Source organism: Homo sapiens, chromosome 4, assembly GCF_000001405.40.
Source record: "Homo sapiens chromosome 4, GRCh38.p14 Primary Assembly".
Lineage (NCBI taxonomy): Eukaryota > Metazoa > Chordata > Mammalia > Primates > Hominidae > Homo > Homo sapiens.
The window spans coordinates 122,799,307-122,819,764 of NC_000004.12; the positions used below are offsets into that span (position 1 = coordinate 122,799,307).

Genomic DNA, 20,458 nt, shown 5'->3' on the forward strand with positions numbered 1-20,458 from the left:
AATCTACCTGATACCCAAATCCCTTGCTCATGTAATGTTGAAAAGCTAGAAATTATATATCCAATAAGAAGTAATTTAGTTAAACTAATTAAAGATACATTCGTATAATGATGCTGAAGATATACCATATTGATATATGAAGCAAAACTTTCAGCTGAACAAAGCAGCTAAGAAAATATGCACAATATGGTTTCATTTTAAAATACATAAACAGGACAGTCACAGTGGCTCACACCTGTAATCACAACATTTTGAGAGGCCAAGGCAGAAGGATCCCTTGAGCCCAGGAGTTCAAGACCAGCCCCAGCAACATAACAAGACCCCGTCCATCTCTACAAAATATTTAAAAATTAGCTGGGCATGGTGGCACACACCTGTAATCCTAGCTACTCAAGAGGTTGAGGTGAGTGGATCACTTGAGCCCAAGAGTTCGAGGTTGCAGTGAGCCATGATCCTGCCACTGCACTCAAGGCTGGGTGACAGAGCAAGACTGTGTCTCTATAAAAAATAAAATAAGATAAAATCATAAACATATGTATACTTTCCTAGAAAGGAACATAGAAGCAAATTGAAAATGCAGGGATCCTTGTTCAAAAATTATGAAGAATTTCAGGATGACAGCAGAGCACAAACCTTCTGAGCATAGGTCCTTGTGCAGCTGTACAAGTCACACACCTGTGAAGCTGGCCCTGATTAGTAGTACTGTTTATGTTCTTCTTTTTGCTTGTCAGTATTGCATTGCTTGTACGTCTTACTTTGGTAATAAGAAAAATGATAAACTAAGAAAAGAAAGGGCATCAAATGTGATGAGAGTTTTGGAATATATACGTATAAATATAGATATACATAAACATACACATATAGATATAAAGAGATAGATAATTTTTTTCCTCATTGCCTACCCTCTTTATTTCTTGCCTAAATAATTTGGTCCTGGGGAGTAGGTTAGTGGCCCAGCACCAGATGGTGGAGCCCAGGAGGAATGAGAACAGCATCCGCATTGAGTAGGGCAGGCAGTGCTGTCATGGCATGTGCACCCACGCAAGATAAGGAAAGCATCCAGGCAGGGGGCAGCCACCTATGATGGGATGCTGGAGGCTGAATGAGGTGAGCACTGATGGTGGGAGGAGATTGGTCACATTGAGGATTGATCCAATAAATATTTTTAAGTAATGGGAACAAAGTTTCTCATTTTTAGAAAAAGGAGTTACAAATATGGAAAAGGAGAAAAGTGGAATAAACTCGGTGGCATGTAAGACTAAAATAGAAATATTTTAATCAGTGGTTTTGTCTTTTCCATAATATGTGTGTATACATACATATATGTAGACATATATTATGTATTTTCTAGCTCTTTCCATTGGGCAGGCCTGAGAGCAATGCCATTGCAATAACACTGAGCATACCTAGTGTCCAGATCTCAGGGGTTTTGTTTTTTGTTTTTTGTTTTTTTTGAGACGGAGTCTTGCCCTGTTGCCCAGGCTGGAGTGCAGTGGCACAGTCTCGGCTCACTGCAACCTCTGCCTCCCAGGCTCAAGCAATTCTCCTGCCTCAGCCTCCCAAGTAGCTGGGATTATAGGTGCCCGCCACCATGCCCAACTTACTTTTGTATTTTAGTAGAGACAGGGTTTCACCATGTTGGCCAGGCTGGTCTCGAACTCATGACCTCATGATCCGCCCTCCTTGGCCTCCCAAAGTGCTGGGATTACAGGTGTGAGCCACCACACCTGGCCCAGATCTCAGTTTTTAAACACCATTCTCTGCAATTAAAAAAAAAAAAAAAAAAAAAAAGGCCGGGCGCGGTGGCTCACGCCTGTAATCCCAGCACTTTGGGAGGCCGAGGCGGGCGGATCACAAGGTCAGGAGATCGAGACCATCCCGGCTAAAAGGGTGAAACCCCGTCTCTACTAAAAATACAAAAAATTAGCCGGGCGTAGTGGCGGGCGCCTGTAGTCCCAGCTACTTGGGAGGCTGAGGCAGGAGAATGGCGTGAACCCGGGAGGCGGAGCTTGCAGTGAGCCGAGATCCCGCCACTGCACTCCAGCCTGGGCGACAGAGCGAGACTCCGTCTCAAAAAAAAAAAAAAAAAAAAAAAAAGCAGCTGTGTGCGGTGGCTCACGCTTGTAATCCCAGCACTTTGGGAGGTCAAGGTAAGTGAATCATGAGGTCAAGAGATCGAGACCATCCTGGCCAACATGGTGAAACCCCGTCTCTACTAAAATACAAAAGTAAGCTGGGCGTGGTGGTGGGTACCTATAATCCCAGCTACTCGGGAGGCTGAGGCAGGAGAATCGCTTGAACCTGGGAGGTTCACACCTATAGTCCCAGCTACTTGAGAGACTGAGACAGGAGAATCGCTTGAGCCTGGGAGGCGGAGGTTCCAGTGAGCCGAGATTGCGCCACTGCACTCCAGCCTGGCGACAGAGGGAGACACCGTCTCAAAAAAAAAAAAAAAAAAAAAGAGAGAAAAGAAACAAAACACCAGGGCTCTTTGAAGAAATACCTGATTTCACAGATGGGTAAGAAAAGTACAAGATAAGCGTAGAACATCTGTGTGTGTATTAGAAAGTAAAGGAGTATTCAAAGGATGTTGGGAATATGTCAAAAGAACATAAAAGCCATCCTGAAGGAGTCTCTACTAGCCAAATCTGGGACAATTTCACCATCAATACAGAATGACAGAAACACCCAGCTACTTGAGAGTCTGAGGCACGAGAATTGCTTGGACCCGCGAAGCAGAGGTTGCAGTGAGCCGAGATCACGCCACAGCACTCCAGCCTGGGCGACAGAGTGAGACTCTGTCTCAAAAAAATTTTTAAAATTTAAAAATTCTAAAAAAGAAACAGAAACAAAGAAAATTTTTTTTTGATTTAAAAAAGAATGACAGAAATAGATATTGCCTATTGAATAAAATAATCATCTATTAATCCATGAATCCATACTATGAATTTATACTATTAATAACTAAAGGAAAAAGAAAGCTTTTCTTTACAATATAATATGCCAACTAATAAACAGGGTAGGAATGATGGAACTAAAAAAAAGCAATTGGCATCATAGTGGAAAATCATATATGCTTCTATGCAAAGAACAGACAACTTTCAATGGTAATTTACAAAGGAAAAATAACTGGACTAGTAACAGACTTGTTATCTACAACCTTGGTTGAACCAGATAATTTGCATTTACATTTACAGTACATGGTATATTGGCAATATCCCTATATCACGAAAGTTATCACATGTGAGATCAAACTAAAAAAGTTTTTGCATATTACAAGGGTTCTAAAAATATTCTACCCGTATATCTCTGTGAGAAAATTCTCTAACCAAGTGAAAATTAAATTTTATGAAAGGAAAGATAAGAAATTCAAGAAACATTGATGAATAATGACTCATAATATTTACAATTAAATCTAAATGTGCTGGGCATGGTGGCTCGCGCCTGTAATCCCAGCACTTTGGGAGGCCAAGGTGGGCGGATCATCTGAGGTTGGAAGTTCGAGACCAGTCTGGCCAACATAGTGAAATGGTGAAACCCATCTCTACTAAAAATACAAAAATTAGCAGGGCATGGTGGTGCACACCTGTAATCCCAGCTACTTGGGAGGCTGAGGTGGGAGAATCTCTTGAACCAGGAGGCGGAGGTTGCAGTGAGCCAAGATTGCACCACTGCACTTCAGGCTGGGTGACAGATCAAGACTCTGTCTCAAAAAAAAAAAAAAAAAAAAAAAAAAAAAACTAAATGGATGATAGTTAACTGGGAATTATACTATGTAAAGAATTTTGAAAGAGCGGAGACATTTTGTGAGGGAAAACTTGCTAATAGTCAGGGATTGAAATCCTATCATTATCTTATCCAAACTTGAGATTTGGGCAATAGGGAGACATGAGTAGCTAAATGTTCTAAAGGTTTTTTCAGTGGAAGGAGTGGAGAAACACAGAACTAGTAATCTAGCATGGTAAGAAGTCAAAGTTGTTATTTAATTTGTACGTATCAATAGAAATACATGAATTTAATTATGACAATTAGAAGCTAAAAGACAACCATTATTAGAATTGAAAAGTATATGTCAGCGAGTGAGCAAGTTGGAGATCATAATTATTTAATTTTCATATATAAATATAAATATAACTGTTAAAGTTGGGAAAGCTATGAGTAACAAAATAGAGGTGAATAGTAAAAATTCCAATTTATCAGGATGGGAGAAATGAAATAAAAAGAAAATAAAAAAGTAAGCAAAGGAGCTAAAAAGAAAATAATGTATAAAAATGTACAGGAAATAAAATTGTATAAATTTTTACTGTAAGTACAATTCTATCAAAAAGCAAAAACTCTCTGACTGAATTTGAAAATCCAGTTTAATTATATACTGTAAATATAATTATATACTGACAGGGTCTCAACAAGATTACATAATCAAAAATAGGATAATTCCAAGAAGGTTTACTTAGGAAGGTATGAGCAGGCACTAGAACTACAAAGCATAGTGTTATACTGGGGCTAATCCCAGCAGAATTGTTATCTCTCCTAGGCCCCAAAGCACAAAGGGAGGATGTGGTTACTAGAACCTGGAAGGAAAGGCTCTTACAGAGAAGGCCATCCGGAGAGGAGCCGTGACCTTTAGTTGACGTCACAGCTGTCCCTAGGGGACATCACAGGGAAGGAGCTGAGAATTGACCTTGCTCTTCTTCTCCACTTGGTCTAGCTAGGGTGCAAGGGTAGAAGTTGGTGTAGTCCCTCCAGGTCACCCTCTTCAGGCAGAGAGCAGGCAGCAGAAGGGTGGATAGTGGATCCAGAGGAGCAAGTGAACGGAAGACCCCTGCCACATCAACTATTTACAGAAACTGCACCTAAATTAGAGTGACAAAGCTTTGATTGTAGGGATGGGAAAAGGTACCTGTCTTGGTCCTTTTCTGTTGTTATATATGCAACAGAATATATATAATAACATATTATATAAAACATATTGTGTGTGTGTGTGTGTATATATATCTCTTTATGTATATAAAGGAATTTCTTTCTTATAGTTTAGAGGCTGAAAAGTTCAAGATCAAGGGGCTGCATCAGTTGAGGGCCTTCTTGCCGATGGGGACTCTCTGCAGAGACCAGAGGTGGCACAGGGCAGGCATCACATGGTGAGGGGGCTGAGTGTGCTAGCTCAGTTCTCTCTTCCTCTTCTTAAAAAGCTACCAGCCCCTCTCCTATTCCAACCCATTAATCTATTAATGGATTGATCCATTCATGAGAAGCCCCACCTCTCAGTACTGCCACATTGAGGATTAAATTTCAACATGAGTTTTGAAGGGGACAAATATTCAAACTGCAGCAGTCTCTAACTATAACTTATCTTATTAGTCAGAAGTTGTGGAATTTATGCTAGGCCCAAACTTAGGGTTTGGGGGACAGATATTAAATGTCATCTCCTAAGATAGACACCAGAAAGCCAAGTTGTCAGAATATCCCTGCAGGACTTATAATGGGCACACCAACCAACATTCCCCTTCCTCCCAGTGTACAGAAAGAGAGAACTGGGAAAGTGGAAAGGTGATTTTTAGGCCCTAAGGAGTACAGTATTCCTGATGAGAAACGCTTGAAGAGATGTACAGAGATCAAAAGTGCTTGCAAGATAGAGTGACTTGCATCTAGTTTCTTGGCTGAATGCTTGCCGAGTTGCAGAATACACAGGTCCAGTTAGGTGATGCTACCAAAGTAATGCATGGTCAGGCAGTTCTTGGGAGAGTGCTGTGGTCTCCTGAAGTGTGGGGTATGCAGGAACATGGATGCTGAGTCCGTTTCTGGCCTAGAGAACCTTAATGGTAGAGGTCACCACTGAATGACCCATGCCAGCAGGGCTTGAAGGAACGGTGGTGAGGTGTAATTAGGAAGGAAACAAGATAAAACAAGGTAACCATCCTCCCCATCCTGGCTCCAACGGGATGTGATACCACATAGGTTCTTTTTTTTTTTTTTCTGTTGCCCAGGCTGGAGTGCAGTGGCGTGACCTTGGCTCACTGCAACCTCTTCCTCCAGGGTTCAAGTGATTCTCCTGACTCAGCCTCCCCAGTAGCTGGGACTACAGGTGCATGCCACCACGCCCAGCTAATTTCTTGTATTTTTAGTAGAGATGGGGTTTCACTGTGTTAGCCAGGAAGGTCTGGATCTCTTGACCCTGTGATCTGCCTGCCTTGGCCTCCCAAAGTGCTAGGATTACAGGCATGAGCCACTGTGCCTGGCCTACTATATAGGTTCTTAACTACCTTTTCAATAGTAGATAGAATACCAGCCACTATTGCATGGGGCAGTTATACCACTTTTAAAAATATTTTTTAAAGATTCCTCTACAATATATATGAACAAACAATTTGCACAGAAGCTATTTGGTAAATTATGTACATGATGTGCTTAACCACAGCAGTATTTATAGCACTGGCAAAATACTATCTAAATGACCTAAAATACGAGGATAGTGAAATGAACTATACACATATCAACTTGACAAAATTTAATTCTTAAAATACAAATTCTATAAATTATGTAGCAAGAAAGGAAATTATAATGTTAAGTAAGAAGAGTAGCATATGAAAATATTCCTAGACTATGATTGTAATAGTGCAAAAAAGGGCATAAACCAATGTACAAATAAAACAAGAATAACTGATGTCTTAGGCTAGTGGAATGTGGGTGATGTCTTTTTTGTATTCATTACTTCTGTTGTTATAAAATTGCTTACACAGTAAATGAAATCAAAGGCCTAAAAAAGCTAAACAAATGGGTGGAAGAAGAATAGGCAGCTATTAGACAACTCTTGAGGAATTTTGCTGTACAGAGACGCACAAAATGGGGTACTATCTGGAGGAGGGGTGTGAGGTCAGGGGAGGGAGGAGCTTTGTTGAAAATAGGAAAAATAGGTACATATTTTTATGCTGATGAGAATGAGCTATTAGAAGGAAAGAACTGATGGTAGAGAAAGCAGAGCTGCTCAGCAAAGTCCTTCAGTAAAGGAGAGAAAATGTGTACCCAACACTTAAGTGGATTTAGGCCTTGGTAGGGACAGGAGGTCTCAATCTGCAGTAACAGAGGGCAGGTCCAGGGCCAGGTCGAATGTATAGAAACAGATGCAGTGGGTTAGCTATTTGATGGTGGAAAGTTGAGGAAATTCTCTTTTGATTGATTCCGTTATCTCAGTGAAATAAGAAGCAGGGGGGCCGGGCGCAGTGGCTCATGCCTGTAATCCCAGCACTTTGGGAGGCCGAGGCGGGCGAATTATGAGGTCAGAAGTTCGAGATCAACCGGGCCAACATGGTGAAGACCCATCTCTACTAAAAATACAAAAAATTAGCTGGGCGTAGTGGCAGACACTTGTAATCCCAGCTACTTGTGAGGCTGAGGCAGGAGAATCACTTGAACTCGGGAGGCAGAGATTGCAGTGAGCTGAGATGGCACCAGTGCACTCCAGCCCAGGGGGACAGAGTGAGGCTCTGTCTCAAAAAAAAAAAAAAAAGAAAAAAAATAAGAAGTAAAGCGAGGTCAACTAAGAGTGAAGGTTATTGGAAGTTTAAGGAAATTGGAGACGATATGAAAGAGTTAATGGACTAAGACACTATGGTAGAATTTCCTGAGAGAACCAAGGGGGCAGTAACAGATCTTATTGCCATATCCTGTGAATGTGTCTTAACTATGTAGTGTCAATTCCTTGAACACACAGCCTTCCTTCTTTCCCTGACTCTTAAAGAAAAGAGTTTTGTTTCAGCATCATGAATTGTTCCTAGTTTGTAAAAGGAGTTGGGCAATTGCAATTATCCACCTTTTTCATTTTATGTGAACAGTGAGATTGAAAGTACACCTCTAGGAAGCCATCTTGGAGTGTCAGTTTGCATTTACTCTTGGAGTGTTTTATCATTATGCAAGAACATCTTCCGGAAACAGCAGAATGAACTGATCTTAGACACTGACGCCCCACCCATCAGAAGCCATAATCTATGATTTATGGGTGTGAATTAGATTGTAGATTTTCAAGGGAAATGATGCTCCTCAGCAACTGCACAAAATAAAGAAATCTGTATTGTTTTGCTCTGTATGAGTGTAGTCTGTTTTTTTGTGTTTTTTTTTTTGTTTTTTTTCATTTGATGGTTTTAAGTGAAGACAGGACCACACAAATTGCATGACTAACTCCTCAAGAGTTAGGTACTTTTTGCAGCCATTTGCAGCCTACACACTGATGTCATGAGTACTATTTAGTATCAATGAGGTGGATAATGAGAGCACGCTAGGATTTATTCTAAGTGGATCAGGAAATGGGGGAAAACAGGAAACTCTGAAGGAAAAAAACACATTAAAACAAAAGAAATTAAAATAAGTGCTTTAAATAATTCACAAAGAAAATGGTCAATATATATGTTCTCCTTTGTTCCTTTAAAGATATATGTTACACGACAAGGCCGGGCGCTGTGGCTCACACCTGTAATCCCAGCACTTTGGGAGGCCAAGGCAGGTGGATCACAAGGTCAGGAGTTTGAGACCAGACTGACCAACATGGTGAAACCCCGTCTCTACTAAAAATACAAAAATTAGCCTGGCATGGTGGCGGGTGCCTGTAGTTCTCAGCTACTTGGGAGGCTGTGGCAGGAGAATCGCTTGAACCCGGGAGGCGGAGGTTACAGTAAGCTGAGATCGTGCCACTGCTCTCCAGCCTGGGCAACAGAGCGAGGCTTCATCTCAAAAAAAAAGAAAAAAAAAAAAGATACATGTTACATGATGAATGTGATGAGCAGAAAAGAATGAGTAGAAGGTAAGAGTACCTGACTGAGATTTCTTATCTATTCTTCAGCTATCCAGCTCATGGAAACCACAGTGGTCCATCTCTGTGCAAAATGACAATCTTTCCCTTCAAGACTGCAAGTCAAAATTTTAAACTTTTATAGCCTAAAGTTGTTTCCTGTCTCTACGGAAACTTAAACCAGGGAGTATTGCTTTGAACATTGGTGTTTTAGGCACTTTTCGGATAACATTGAAATGACTATTTCCTAGCATTTGGCAGACTTAAACCTAACAAATCACAAAACAAGAAATATAAATGTCCAAGGAAAAAAAGTTCTAAGTAATTTTTGAATTCTATAGTAATTTTAAAATTCAAATTAAGCCAATAATGAATTACCACTTTTTGCACGTCAAGTTGTCTGAAGATTGTTTTAAGACAATGCCTAATGGTGAAGAGAATGTGGAGAAAGAGACTCTCATGATGATTTTGGGGAAGGTTTAAGTCGACACACCTTCTTCAGACTACTTGATAAAATGTAACCCAAAGTTTAAAAACATTCACTTGTTTAACAAAAGTATTTATAGAACATCTATGTCAAAGGCTGGAAATTACATTCTATCAAATGACTAGACATTACATAAATAATTACAAGTACAATGAGGCCTGTGAAAGAAAAATCAAAGGGACATAGAGACAAGGAATTAGGTCAGGTGTGGTGGCTCATGCAGCACTTTGGGAGGCGGAGGTGGGAGGATCACCTCAGGTCAGGAGTTCAAGATCAGCCTGGCCAACATGGTGAAACCACATCTCCACAAGAATACCAAAATTAGCCGGGCACGATGGTGGGTGCTTGTAATCCCAGGTACTTGGGAGGCTGAGGTGAGAGAATTGTTTGAACCTGGGAGGCAGAGGTTGCAGTGAGCTGAGATCGTGCCATTGCACTCCAGCCTGGGTGACAGAGTGAGACTCGTCTCAAAAAAAAAAAAAAAAAAAAGCAAGGAATTAATCCTAAGGAAGTAATCAAAATTATGCAGTAAGATAGAATGAAAAAAATTTAGAATTACTTACATGTCCACAGACAGCGTATGAAATAAGCTATGGTATATCCATGTATTGAAATAATATGATGGCATTAAGAATAAAGCTATAGAAAAACAATAGAAATGTTCATAATATATTGATAAATAGAAAATAAGGTGATAAAACAGTGTATTCAATATGATGGAGTTTCATAAAAAGCTATATATATCTATCTATTCATCTATCTATGAAGAATATGTCAGCAAAATGTTCTAATGATAATTTTTGGCTGGGGATTAATATAGCAATATTTTCTTCTTTGTGTTTATCTTCATGAACATTCTTATAGGCATAAAAATAACAAGTATATAATTGGACACAAGGTAACTAATGTTTGAGAGAGATAATCTAAGGGACATATAATCAACTACTCTTCTGCATTACCTATAGTCTGTCCTTGTCTTAATTAGATCAACAGAATGCAATGTTCTCGAAATTCATTACTTTAATCCCCTGAAGAAATGCTGTTACAAAGTTATGATTGAATGTTGAATCTTTGGCTTTTATTAAGATGATGTGACTAATATTTTCTTAATCTTTTGCAAATTTATAGTCCAAGACATATGCCCTTATGTTACTACTTCTTTTGTAAGGAGCCATTCAACAAGTTTATAAGAGAATTGATGCTAGGAAAGAGTTTATTTTCCAGTGAGTTTTTATCAAACAGTATAAATTTTAGAACATGTCTTACTTTCCTTATTTCCTTGTCTGCCAGGAATATTAGAGCTAACTTTAGTGACCAATTAAGGTAACGATTTGGCTCCTGGTACAATTAATTTTGTCCTGTAAGTGCTTTATGCTGCTCATTTTAATTTTAAAACTCTCTTTCTTATGTCTTTTAATAGGCAAGTCATCCCAAATTTTAAAAAAATAGACATGTGAAGTAGAGAGATTTCCATATGTTCTATAATAAATAAATAACAAAAACTAGAAATTAGAATTCTTTGCTGATCACGTATATGTATATTGCTAGAGTTTAAACATAGTTGGGCCGGGCACGGTGGCTCATGCCTGCAATCCCAGCACTTTGGAAGGCGGATCACGAGGTCAGGAATTCAAGACAGACCTGACCAACACGGCAAAACCCCGTTTCTACTAAAAATACAAAAATTAGCCGTGCATGGTGGCGCATGCCTGTAATTCCAGCTACTCAGAAGGCTGAGGCAGGAGAATTGCTTGAACCCGGGAGGCAGAGGTTGCAGTGAGCCGAGATCACGCCATTGCACTCCAGCCTGGGTGACACAGCGAGACTCCATCTCAAAAAAAAAAAGAAGTCTTTGTAGTAATTGAAGTGTTTTTTCTCATTTGTTTTGTTTTTTACATAGATAGTGAAAACATTAACTTTAGCTCAGCCTATTTGAATTCCAACGTGTTCTAAATGTAATCTTTACAGTAACTTCATTACTTTATTAGTAAACTACTGGTCAAAACATTAGCTTTTCAGCTAGCTTATTGTTTTGGAGAGTTAATGAAATGTATTGTGTTATCAAAGAATGGATATTGTGAAAACATTTGATATTTTCAAGTCTAGCCAAATCCCATTCCCGCTTTTTAAAAAATCACTACTCATTCCTTCTGTGTTACTTTCATGAGAAGACCTTAACCTTAAGAACACTAAGTTGAGATGAAATTTCATATTCCCCTAATGACTAGGGGCTGAGGTGGTCAAATGACCTTTTCCTTCCTGGGAGTGACTGCTGTAGGTCAGGCTTGAGGTCATTGGCTGGAGAGTCACAAACAAAGTCATAGTTTTGGCTAAGGGTATAGTAAACTTGGACTGCAGACAAAGCTAATGCTTCCTCAGTGATGAAAGAGAAAAAAATTAGTCCTCTCTTTTGAACACAGACCAACATTGACTATAATCAGCCACTTCTGGTGGGTTGAAGTTAATGATATTCTGAATCTGGTACTTAGTGCTGCAGAGATGGAAGAACCCTGTGGTGACCAATTCTCCTGTATCTAGAAAGGTTAATAAAAGAAGTGTCCAGTCTCAGTCTCAGTCTCCCTCTCCCTCTCCCTCTCCCTCTCCCCACGGTCTCCCTCTCCCCACGGTCTCCCTCTCCCTCTCTTTCCACGGTCTCCCTCTGATGCCGAGCCGAAGCTGGACTGTACTGCTGCCATGTCGGCTCACTGCAGCCTCCCTGCCTGATTCTCCTGCCTCAGCCTGCTGAGTGCCTGCGATTTCAGGCGCGCGCCGCCACGCCTGATTGGTTTTCGTATTTTTTTGGTGGAGACGGGGTTTCGCTGTGTTGGCCGGGCTGGTCTCCAGCTCCTAACCGCGAGTGATCCGCCAGCCTCAGCCTCCGGAGGTGCCGGGATTGCAGACGGTGTCTGGTTCACTCAGTGCTCAATGGTGCCCAGGCTGGAGTGCAGTGGCGTGATCTCGGCTCGCTACAACCTCCACCTCCCAGCCGCCTGCCTTGGCCTCCCAAAGTGCCCAGAGTGCAGCCTCTGCCCGGCCTCCACCCCGTCTAGGAAGTGAGGAGCGTCTCTGCCTGGCCGCCCATCGTCTGGGATGTGAGGAGCCCCTCTGCCTGGCTGCCCAGTCTGGAAAGTGAGGAGCGTCTCTGTCCGGCCGCCATCCCATCTAGGAAGTGAGGAGCGCCTCTTCCCGGCCACCATCCCATCTAGGAAGCGAGGAGCGTCTCTGCCCGGCCGCCCATCGTCTGAGATGTGGGGAGCGCCTTTGCCCCGCCGCCCCGTCTGGGATGTGAGGAGCGCCTCTGCCCAGCTGCGACCCCGTCTGGGAGGTGAGGAGCGTCTCTGCCCAGCCGCCCCATCTGAGAAGGGAGGAGACCCTCCGCCCGGCAACCGCCCCGTCTGAGAAGTGAGGAGCCCCTCCGCCCAGCAGCCGCCCCGTCTGAGAAGTGAGGAGCCCCTCCGCCCAGCAGCCGCCCCGTCTGAGAAGTGAGGAGCCCCTCCGCCCGGCAGCCACCCCGTCTGGGAAGTGAGGAGCCTCTCTGCCCGGCAGCCGACCCGTCCGGGAGGGGGGTGGGGGGGTCAGCCCCCTGCCCAGCCAGCCGCCTTGTCCAGGAGGTGAGGGGCGCCTCTGCCCGGCCGCCCCTACTGGGAAGTGAGGAGCCCCTCTGCCCGGCCAGCCGCCCCGTCCAGGAGGGAGGTGGGGGGGTCAGACCCCTGCCCAGCCAGCCGCCTTGTCCAGGAGGTGAGGGGCGCCTCTGCCCGGCCGCCCCTACTGGGAAGTGAGGAGCCCCTCTGCCCGGCCAGCCGCCCCGTCCGGGAGGGAGGTGGGGGGGTCAGCCCCCCGCCCGGCCAGCCGCCTCGTCCGGGAGGTGAGGGGCGCCTCTGCCCGGCCGCCCCTACTGGGAAGTGAGGAGCCCCTCTGCCCGGCCAGCCGCCCCGTCCAGGAGGGAGGTGGGGGGGTCAGCCCCCGGCCCGGCCAGCCGCCCGGTCGGGGAGGGAGGTGGGGGGGTCAGCCCCCCACCCGGCCAGCCGCCCTGTCCGGGAGGTGAGGGGCGCCTCTGCCCGGCCGCCCCTACTGGGAAGTGAGGAGCCCCTCTGCCCAGCCACCACCCCGTCTGGGAGGTGTGCCCAACAGCTGGTTGAGAACGGGCCATGATGACAATGGCGGTTTTGTGGAATAGAAAGCGGGGAAAGGTGGGGAAAAGATTAGAAATCGGATGGTTGCCGTGTCTGTGTGGAAAGAAGTAGACATGGGAGACTTTTTATTTTGTTCTGTACTAAGAAAAATTCTTCTGCCTTGGGATCCTGTTGATCTGTGACCTTACCCCGCAACCCTGTGCTCTCTGAAACATGTGCTGTGTCCACTCAGGGTTAAATGGATTAAGGGCAGTGCAAGATGTGCTTTGTGAAACAGATGCTTGAAGGCAGCATGCTCGTTAAGAGTCATCACCACTCCCTAATCTCAAGAACCCAGGGACACAAACACTGCGGAAGGCCTCAGGGTCCTCTGCCTAGGAAAACCAGAGACCTTTGTCACTTGTTTATCTGCTGACCTTCCCTCCACTATTGTCCTATGACCCTGCCAAATCCCCCTCTGTGAGAAACACCCAAGAATGATCAATAAAAAAAAAAAATGCATAATTTTAGCATAAATACTCTAGAAATATTCCTTTTGTTTGCTATGTGTTATTGTTAATAAAGGAGATCCTACATCTAAAAAAAAAAAAAAAAAGAAGTGTCCATAATAAGTAGATTCTGTATCTGGAGCTCTGAAATGTTTCTATGACTTTTTGCTGTAATGCACTTTTTTATTTTTATTTTTATTTTTATTTTTGAGAGGGAGTCTCGCTGTGTTTCCCAGGCTGGAATGCAGTGGCGCAATCTCGGCTTATTGCAACCTCCGCCTCCTGGGTTCAAGTGATTTTCCTGCCTCAGCCTCCCATGTAGCTGAGATTACGTGCATCCGCCACCAGGCCCAGCAAATTTTTGTATTTTAGTAGAGACGGGCTTTCACCATGTTAGCCAGGCTGGTCTCAAACTCCTAACCTCAAATAATCTGCCCACCTCAGCCTCCCAAAGTGCTGGGATTACAGGCGTGAGCCACTGCACCTGGCTGTGCTGTAATGTACTCTTCTTATTCAGTCTTTGAAAAAAAAGCACTTGATGATACGTGGGAATCTGCACAATTATCACAAAACATGAATATGGTAGCCAATGTTGCCCTCTTTTGAAAACCACCTATCTTGTCAATGTCCCCTTAAGATGTAGATCTTCCAAATGTGATCTGTTTGGAGGAATTACAACATCATATCATCTGGTCACTAAACATCTGTTAAGGAAACCCAGTTATGTTAGCTTTTTAGGTAGTAGCTTTACCCTTTTGGCCTCTATTAACCATGTGATCAGTTTTATATGACTTTTTACCAAGCCAGTTTCTGCCGTGCTATACTTGCCAAACTGATTTTTTTTAACTTAGATGTAGAACTTTATTTATATCTACATCACAAATTTTATCTTAACCTTTTAACTTGTAGAAAGGCTCTTACATTTTAATTTTGTCATCTATTCTACTAATTAGCATTCTCAGATTTATGACATTAAGATTTTGGCAAGAATGACACCTCTACAAAGATGTGAGCACTGTTGGTGGAACTATAACTCAGTACAGCTATTTTGGAGGTGAATTTGACAGCGTCTCTTAAAATGGAATATGCAAGGACCCGGTGAATTCATTAGTGAGTAGTGCCTCTGGAGAATAACTCAAATATATGCACACAGGGGCAAGTGCAAAGATGGCCACTGCATCACTGTTTATAACAGCAATGATTTGTATGCAACCTGCATGTACATCCATGCTGCATTATGTAGCACAGATATATCATACTCTGGAATACTCTGTTGCAGTTAAAATGAGCAAGGTAGATCCAGACTTAACTAACATGGAAAAACTTATATATACTGAGTGAAAATGCGAGCTGCTGAAAGATAAGAACGCTATGATACCATTTATATATACAAACATGGACACCCACACAAAACAATAGTTTCTTCTCTGTGGGTGCATATATGTATGTAAATGCACAAAGAAAGTCTGAAATGACACACACCAAACTGAGAAAAGTGGTTTCATCTGAGGAGAAGTGACAGTGGTTGGGGGTGGAGTCTAAAGGATACTCTCACTATTATCTGTAATACTTTATTTTTTTTACAAAGATATTGAATTCATATGTTTCTTAACTAATTAAAAGCTAATAACAAAAAAGAATAAAAACAGATCTAATTCAAGTTGTCAATAAAAGTGTTCAAAAGAAAAACAGCCTTAAACTCATATTAAAAAGTATTTCTATATCTTAAAAAAAAAATACAGCTGGCATGGAGGCTCACATCTGTAATCCCAGCAACTTTGAGAGGCCCAGATGGGCTGATGGCTTGAGCCAAGGAGTTTGAGATCAACTTGGGCAACATGGTGAAAACCATCTCTACAAAAAAATTTTAAAAATTAGCCAGGCATGGTGGCCCACACCTGTAGTCCTAGCTACTCAGAAGGCTGAGGTGGGAGGATCACCTAAGCCCTGAGGTGAGTAGTAGAGGCTGCAGTGAGCCAAGATGGTGTCACTGCACTCCATTCTGGGCGATGTGAGTGAGACACAGTCTCAAAAAAAAAAAAAAAAAAGAAAAGAAAAGAAATAATGCATTTAAAAGAAGAAACCAATTTTAGGACTACCTGCATGAGAAAGTCCGGGGACGTCTTCTCACTGGAGAATTCTCAATGTGCACTTGTGAATATTTGGCGAATTGCATTAAATCAACCTATGCTATCTCCTATATACCATGATGTGGCCAATTTCTAGGCCCTCATGTTTTCATGTTCAGTAGGCTCTAGTACCGTATGTATTTCGGTTTCACCTCTAATAGTGGAACTGAAATCTAAAATACCTGATAGCCCAACTTGGAGGAGCAAGGCAAAAAGTAGATGAAGGGATTCTTCCCAAGCTCTTCTCTCAATATACGAGTGTAGCCATTTTTCCAGTGGGAAGGATAAGATAGGAGTGCAGATGTCACCAGAGAGCTGTCCCCTGGACTCCTACAGGACACGGCCAGAGATGATACATGGCATCTTTACTTTCTGGACCTGCTGCATTTACTTATTTTTTTCTTTTCTTTTTAAAAAAATATTATTTAGTACTCAAAAATCTTCATTTTTAAATGTAACTCTCTGAATCCGTGCTCATGCCTTCAACACTTTCACTCCACTGCTCCTCGGAGGAAAGCATGCTTGATCCAGTCACAGACACATTTAGCACATGTGGAACAACAGTAGACCCTGCTGATGTGTTTTTGTTTTAGACAATCTCATAAGAACTTTATGTCTCACAGCACCAACTCAATGAAGTCGGCCTAGGCACACACCACATACAGATTTTGGTGCTTTTTCAACCTTGTTGGTATAAAAGTAGACAATTACATTACCAGGGTTTCGGGACGGCATAGTTGTGTTAGAGGCTGTATTGTGGGGAAGCCCACAACGTTAGGTCAAAAGCTGGACCATTCTGAGTACCTCTAGACACCATCCCCTGAAGACAAAAAAAAAAAAAAAAGCATTTTCTCTTTTTTCTTGACAAATTTCATATCAAATTATTGTATTTTTCTCACTATGTATATTTTAAAATAACCTATTTAAGTAGAGAAAAAAATGCATGCGTATGGTGAAAACAAATCAAGGAGTACAAAAACAGTACCATGAGGCTGGGCACGGTGGCTCACACCTATAATCCTAGCACTTTGGGAAGCTGAGGTGGGCGGATCACTTGAGGTCAGGAGTTTAAGACCAGCCTAGTCAACATGGTGAAACCCGTCTCTACTAAAAATACAAAAATTAGCCGGGTGTGGTGGTGTGTGCCTGTAAGTCCAGCTGCTCAGGAGGCTGAGGCAGGAGAATCACTTGAACTCGGGAGCCGGAGGTTGCAGTGAGCCGAGATCTTGCCACTGCACTCCAGCCTGGGTGACAGAGCAAGACTCTGTCTCCAAAAAACACACACAAAAAACCAAAAACAAACAAAAAACAGTACAATGAGAAGTCTTCCTTTGACTGTAGACTCCAGTCCCCAGTTCTCCCTAGAGGCGGACATTCCTGAAATATTATCTATGTCTATGCAAGCATATATACTGTATGTATGTATGTCTTCCTTCAAAAAATAGAAGTATATTATGGACACTGCAGTATATCTTACTTTTTTTACTTGTTTTCTACTTTTTCAACATATCTTAGAGATCATTTCATAGCCATAACATATAGGTCTACTTTATGTATTAAAAAACTACAAAGTTCATTATAGAGTTATATCTGGCAATGATAGGCTTTCAATAATTTATTAAATAAATGTATCTACTATCATTTCTTTTTACTAGCCCCTATTGATAACCATTTATATTGCTTATTTTCAGTCTTTTGCAACCACAAGCAAAGTTCAAGCACATATGTACATACATCTTTGGGCACATGTATGAATATGTCTGTAGAATAAATTTCCAGAAAGGAAAATCCTGGATCTAAAGGTATACTTATCTCAAATATTGAAAGTTATTGCTGATTAGACCTCCCACCAACAGTGAGAGTAACTGTTACTTTATACTACTGCTATAATTATTAAACGTTTTAACTGGGCCCATCTGAGTAGAAGAAGAATAGATCTCATTCTAGGTTTAATTTGTACTTTTTTTACTCACATTTTAAACATCCATTTACATTTCTTTTTCTACAAACTACCTCTTTATATACCTTTGCCCATGGATCTTTTCTCATTGACAGTTAAGATCTCTTTCTGTATTTAGAAGATTAGCTTTGATGTCAAAGACACTGTGTATTTTCCCAGTTTGTCCTTTGTCTATTACTTTGTTTAGAGCAGGGCAACACTGGTGGTGAGGACTTGCTTTCCACAACCAAGGAGCAGTCTGCCCCAAAGATAAATTCAAATTCTTGCTTCTTGCAAGGTTGCTTTAAAATGGTAAGTTTTTTCCTCCTAGTATTGGCATATTTTTAAAAAAAAAGCCTTGAATTCAGAGTCAGGATGCCCCTTTTAATTAATATCTAAATAAGAACAAATGAACAATGAGATCAGAATCTCTGTAATCTGAGTACGTTACACAGAAGATAAAGAATAACAGGGCCTTCCTGGAAAGGGCCATCTTTGTAACATGTTTATTATAAATAACAATTTATATGAATGAACTTAATGTAGGAAACACTCAGCTCCTTTGATTCAATAGCTCCTCCAATGCAACTCTTAGAAAAGTGTTGGGCTAATTAAAAAAAATATAGAACATATGAATAAACATAATTACTTCTAGCATCATTCTCATTAAAAGGTTAAAAAACCTGGGCCCGGTGCGGTGGCTCACGCCTGTAATCCCAGCAATTTGGGAGGCTGAGGCGGGTGGATCACCTGAGGTCAGGAGTTCAAGACCAGCCTGGCGAACATGGAGAAACCCCGTCTCTACTAAAAATACAAAAATTAGCCAGGCATGGTGGCACATGCCTGTAATCCCAGCTACTAGGGGGGCTGAGGCAGAAGGATCATTTGAACCTGGGAGGCAGAGGTTGCAGTGAGCCGAGATCATGCCACTCTATTCCAGCCTGGACAACAGAGTAAGACTCCATCTCAAAAAGAAAGAAAGAAAGAAAGAAAGTTTAAAAACCCAAGTATTTGTGGTTACCTAATGGCCCTCTAGGAAGCTGCAAAGATGATTTAAGAGTAAAAGACATCATGAAGTTTTCATTTTTCTCACTTTTCTGAACTTAGGGTTTGATCTTGGGAAGGCAAAATCAGTCTATGAGCTGAGACTAGTCACTTGATTATTATAGTCACATAGATCAGCAGTCCCCAACCTTTTTGACACAGGGGACCGGTTTTGTGGAAGACAATTTTTCCATGGATAGCATGGGGCAGGGGGTGGGGTGGGGGATAGTTTCAGGATGATTCAAGTGCATTACATTTACTGTGCAGTTTATTTCTATTATTATTGCATTGTAATATATAATAAAATAAATATACAACTTACCATAATGTAGAACCAGTGGGAACCCTGAGCTTGTTTTCATGCAACTAGATGGTCCCATTTAGGGATGACAGGAGAGAGTGACACCTGAAATGTGTTGTTTATGTCCAGTCTACTCTGTAATCTCATTTTGGTTGCTGTCACTGCAGAAAACTCTATTTCACAAAGATGGCATGATGGAAATGGAAGCAGGCTTTTCATTGCTTTTGTGACAACCTCAGGATATTTCGCCGTGACTTTAGTCCAGAACGTATGGAGATTTGAAGTCAGATCAAACATACTTTTAAGGCCACGGTCATTTGCCATCTCCAGCAGCTGATCCTCTTCCAGCATGGACAAAGTCGATTCCCCTGGCTTATCCACAAATGGGTGGCAGATCCTTTCCTTCCCAGTTCAGGGGTCTTTTGTGATTGGGAAGTAATGCTCAAAGTCTTTTGAAATCCGAGATAGGTGATCATGCACCAGCTGGGAGAAAGAAGGCCCTGGCTCAGTCTCTTTCCAAATTTCTGCTAATGTCTGAAACATGTCAGAAATCCCAATGTTCACTGTTGCCCACATAATTCCAGTTTGGCTTTTTTTTTTTTTTTTTCCAGACGTAGTTTCACTCTGTCACCCAGGCTGGAGTGCAGTGGCATAATCTCGGCTCACTGCAATCTCACCCTCCCAAGTTCGAGCAATTCTCTTGCCTCAGCCTCCCGAATAGATGGGACTACAGGTGCATACCACCACGCCCGGCTAATTTTTTATTTTTAGTCTAGACGGGTTTTCGCCATGTTGCTCAGGCTGGTCTCGAACTCCTGACCTCTAGTGATCTGCCCGCCTCAGCCTCCCAAAGTGCTGGGATTACAGGCGTGAGCCACTGTGCCCAGCCCTAGTTTGGCTTTGAATGCAGCCACTTTACCTTACAACTTGAAGTTGTTGTTCTGTCTTGGAGTGACAGATTGAGTTCATTAAGCAGGCTGAATATGTCACAAAAGTAATCAAGTTTTGTGACCCATTCTGTGGCACTAAAATGTGCTGCCAGTGGTGACTTTTTTCTAAATGCCTGCAGCGGCTCTTGTAACTCAAAAACTCTGGCCAGTGATCTACTTTTAGAAAGCCATCTCACTTCTGTGTATAAGAGAAGACTTGTGTGCTCTG

General features: G+C 42.1%; 1 pseudogene; it reads right to left on the bottom strand.

Moving 5' to 3' along the window:
* Positions 16,476-16,811, bottom strand: RPL34P12 (ribosomal protein L34 pseudogene 12; annotated as a pseudogene).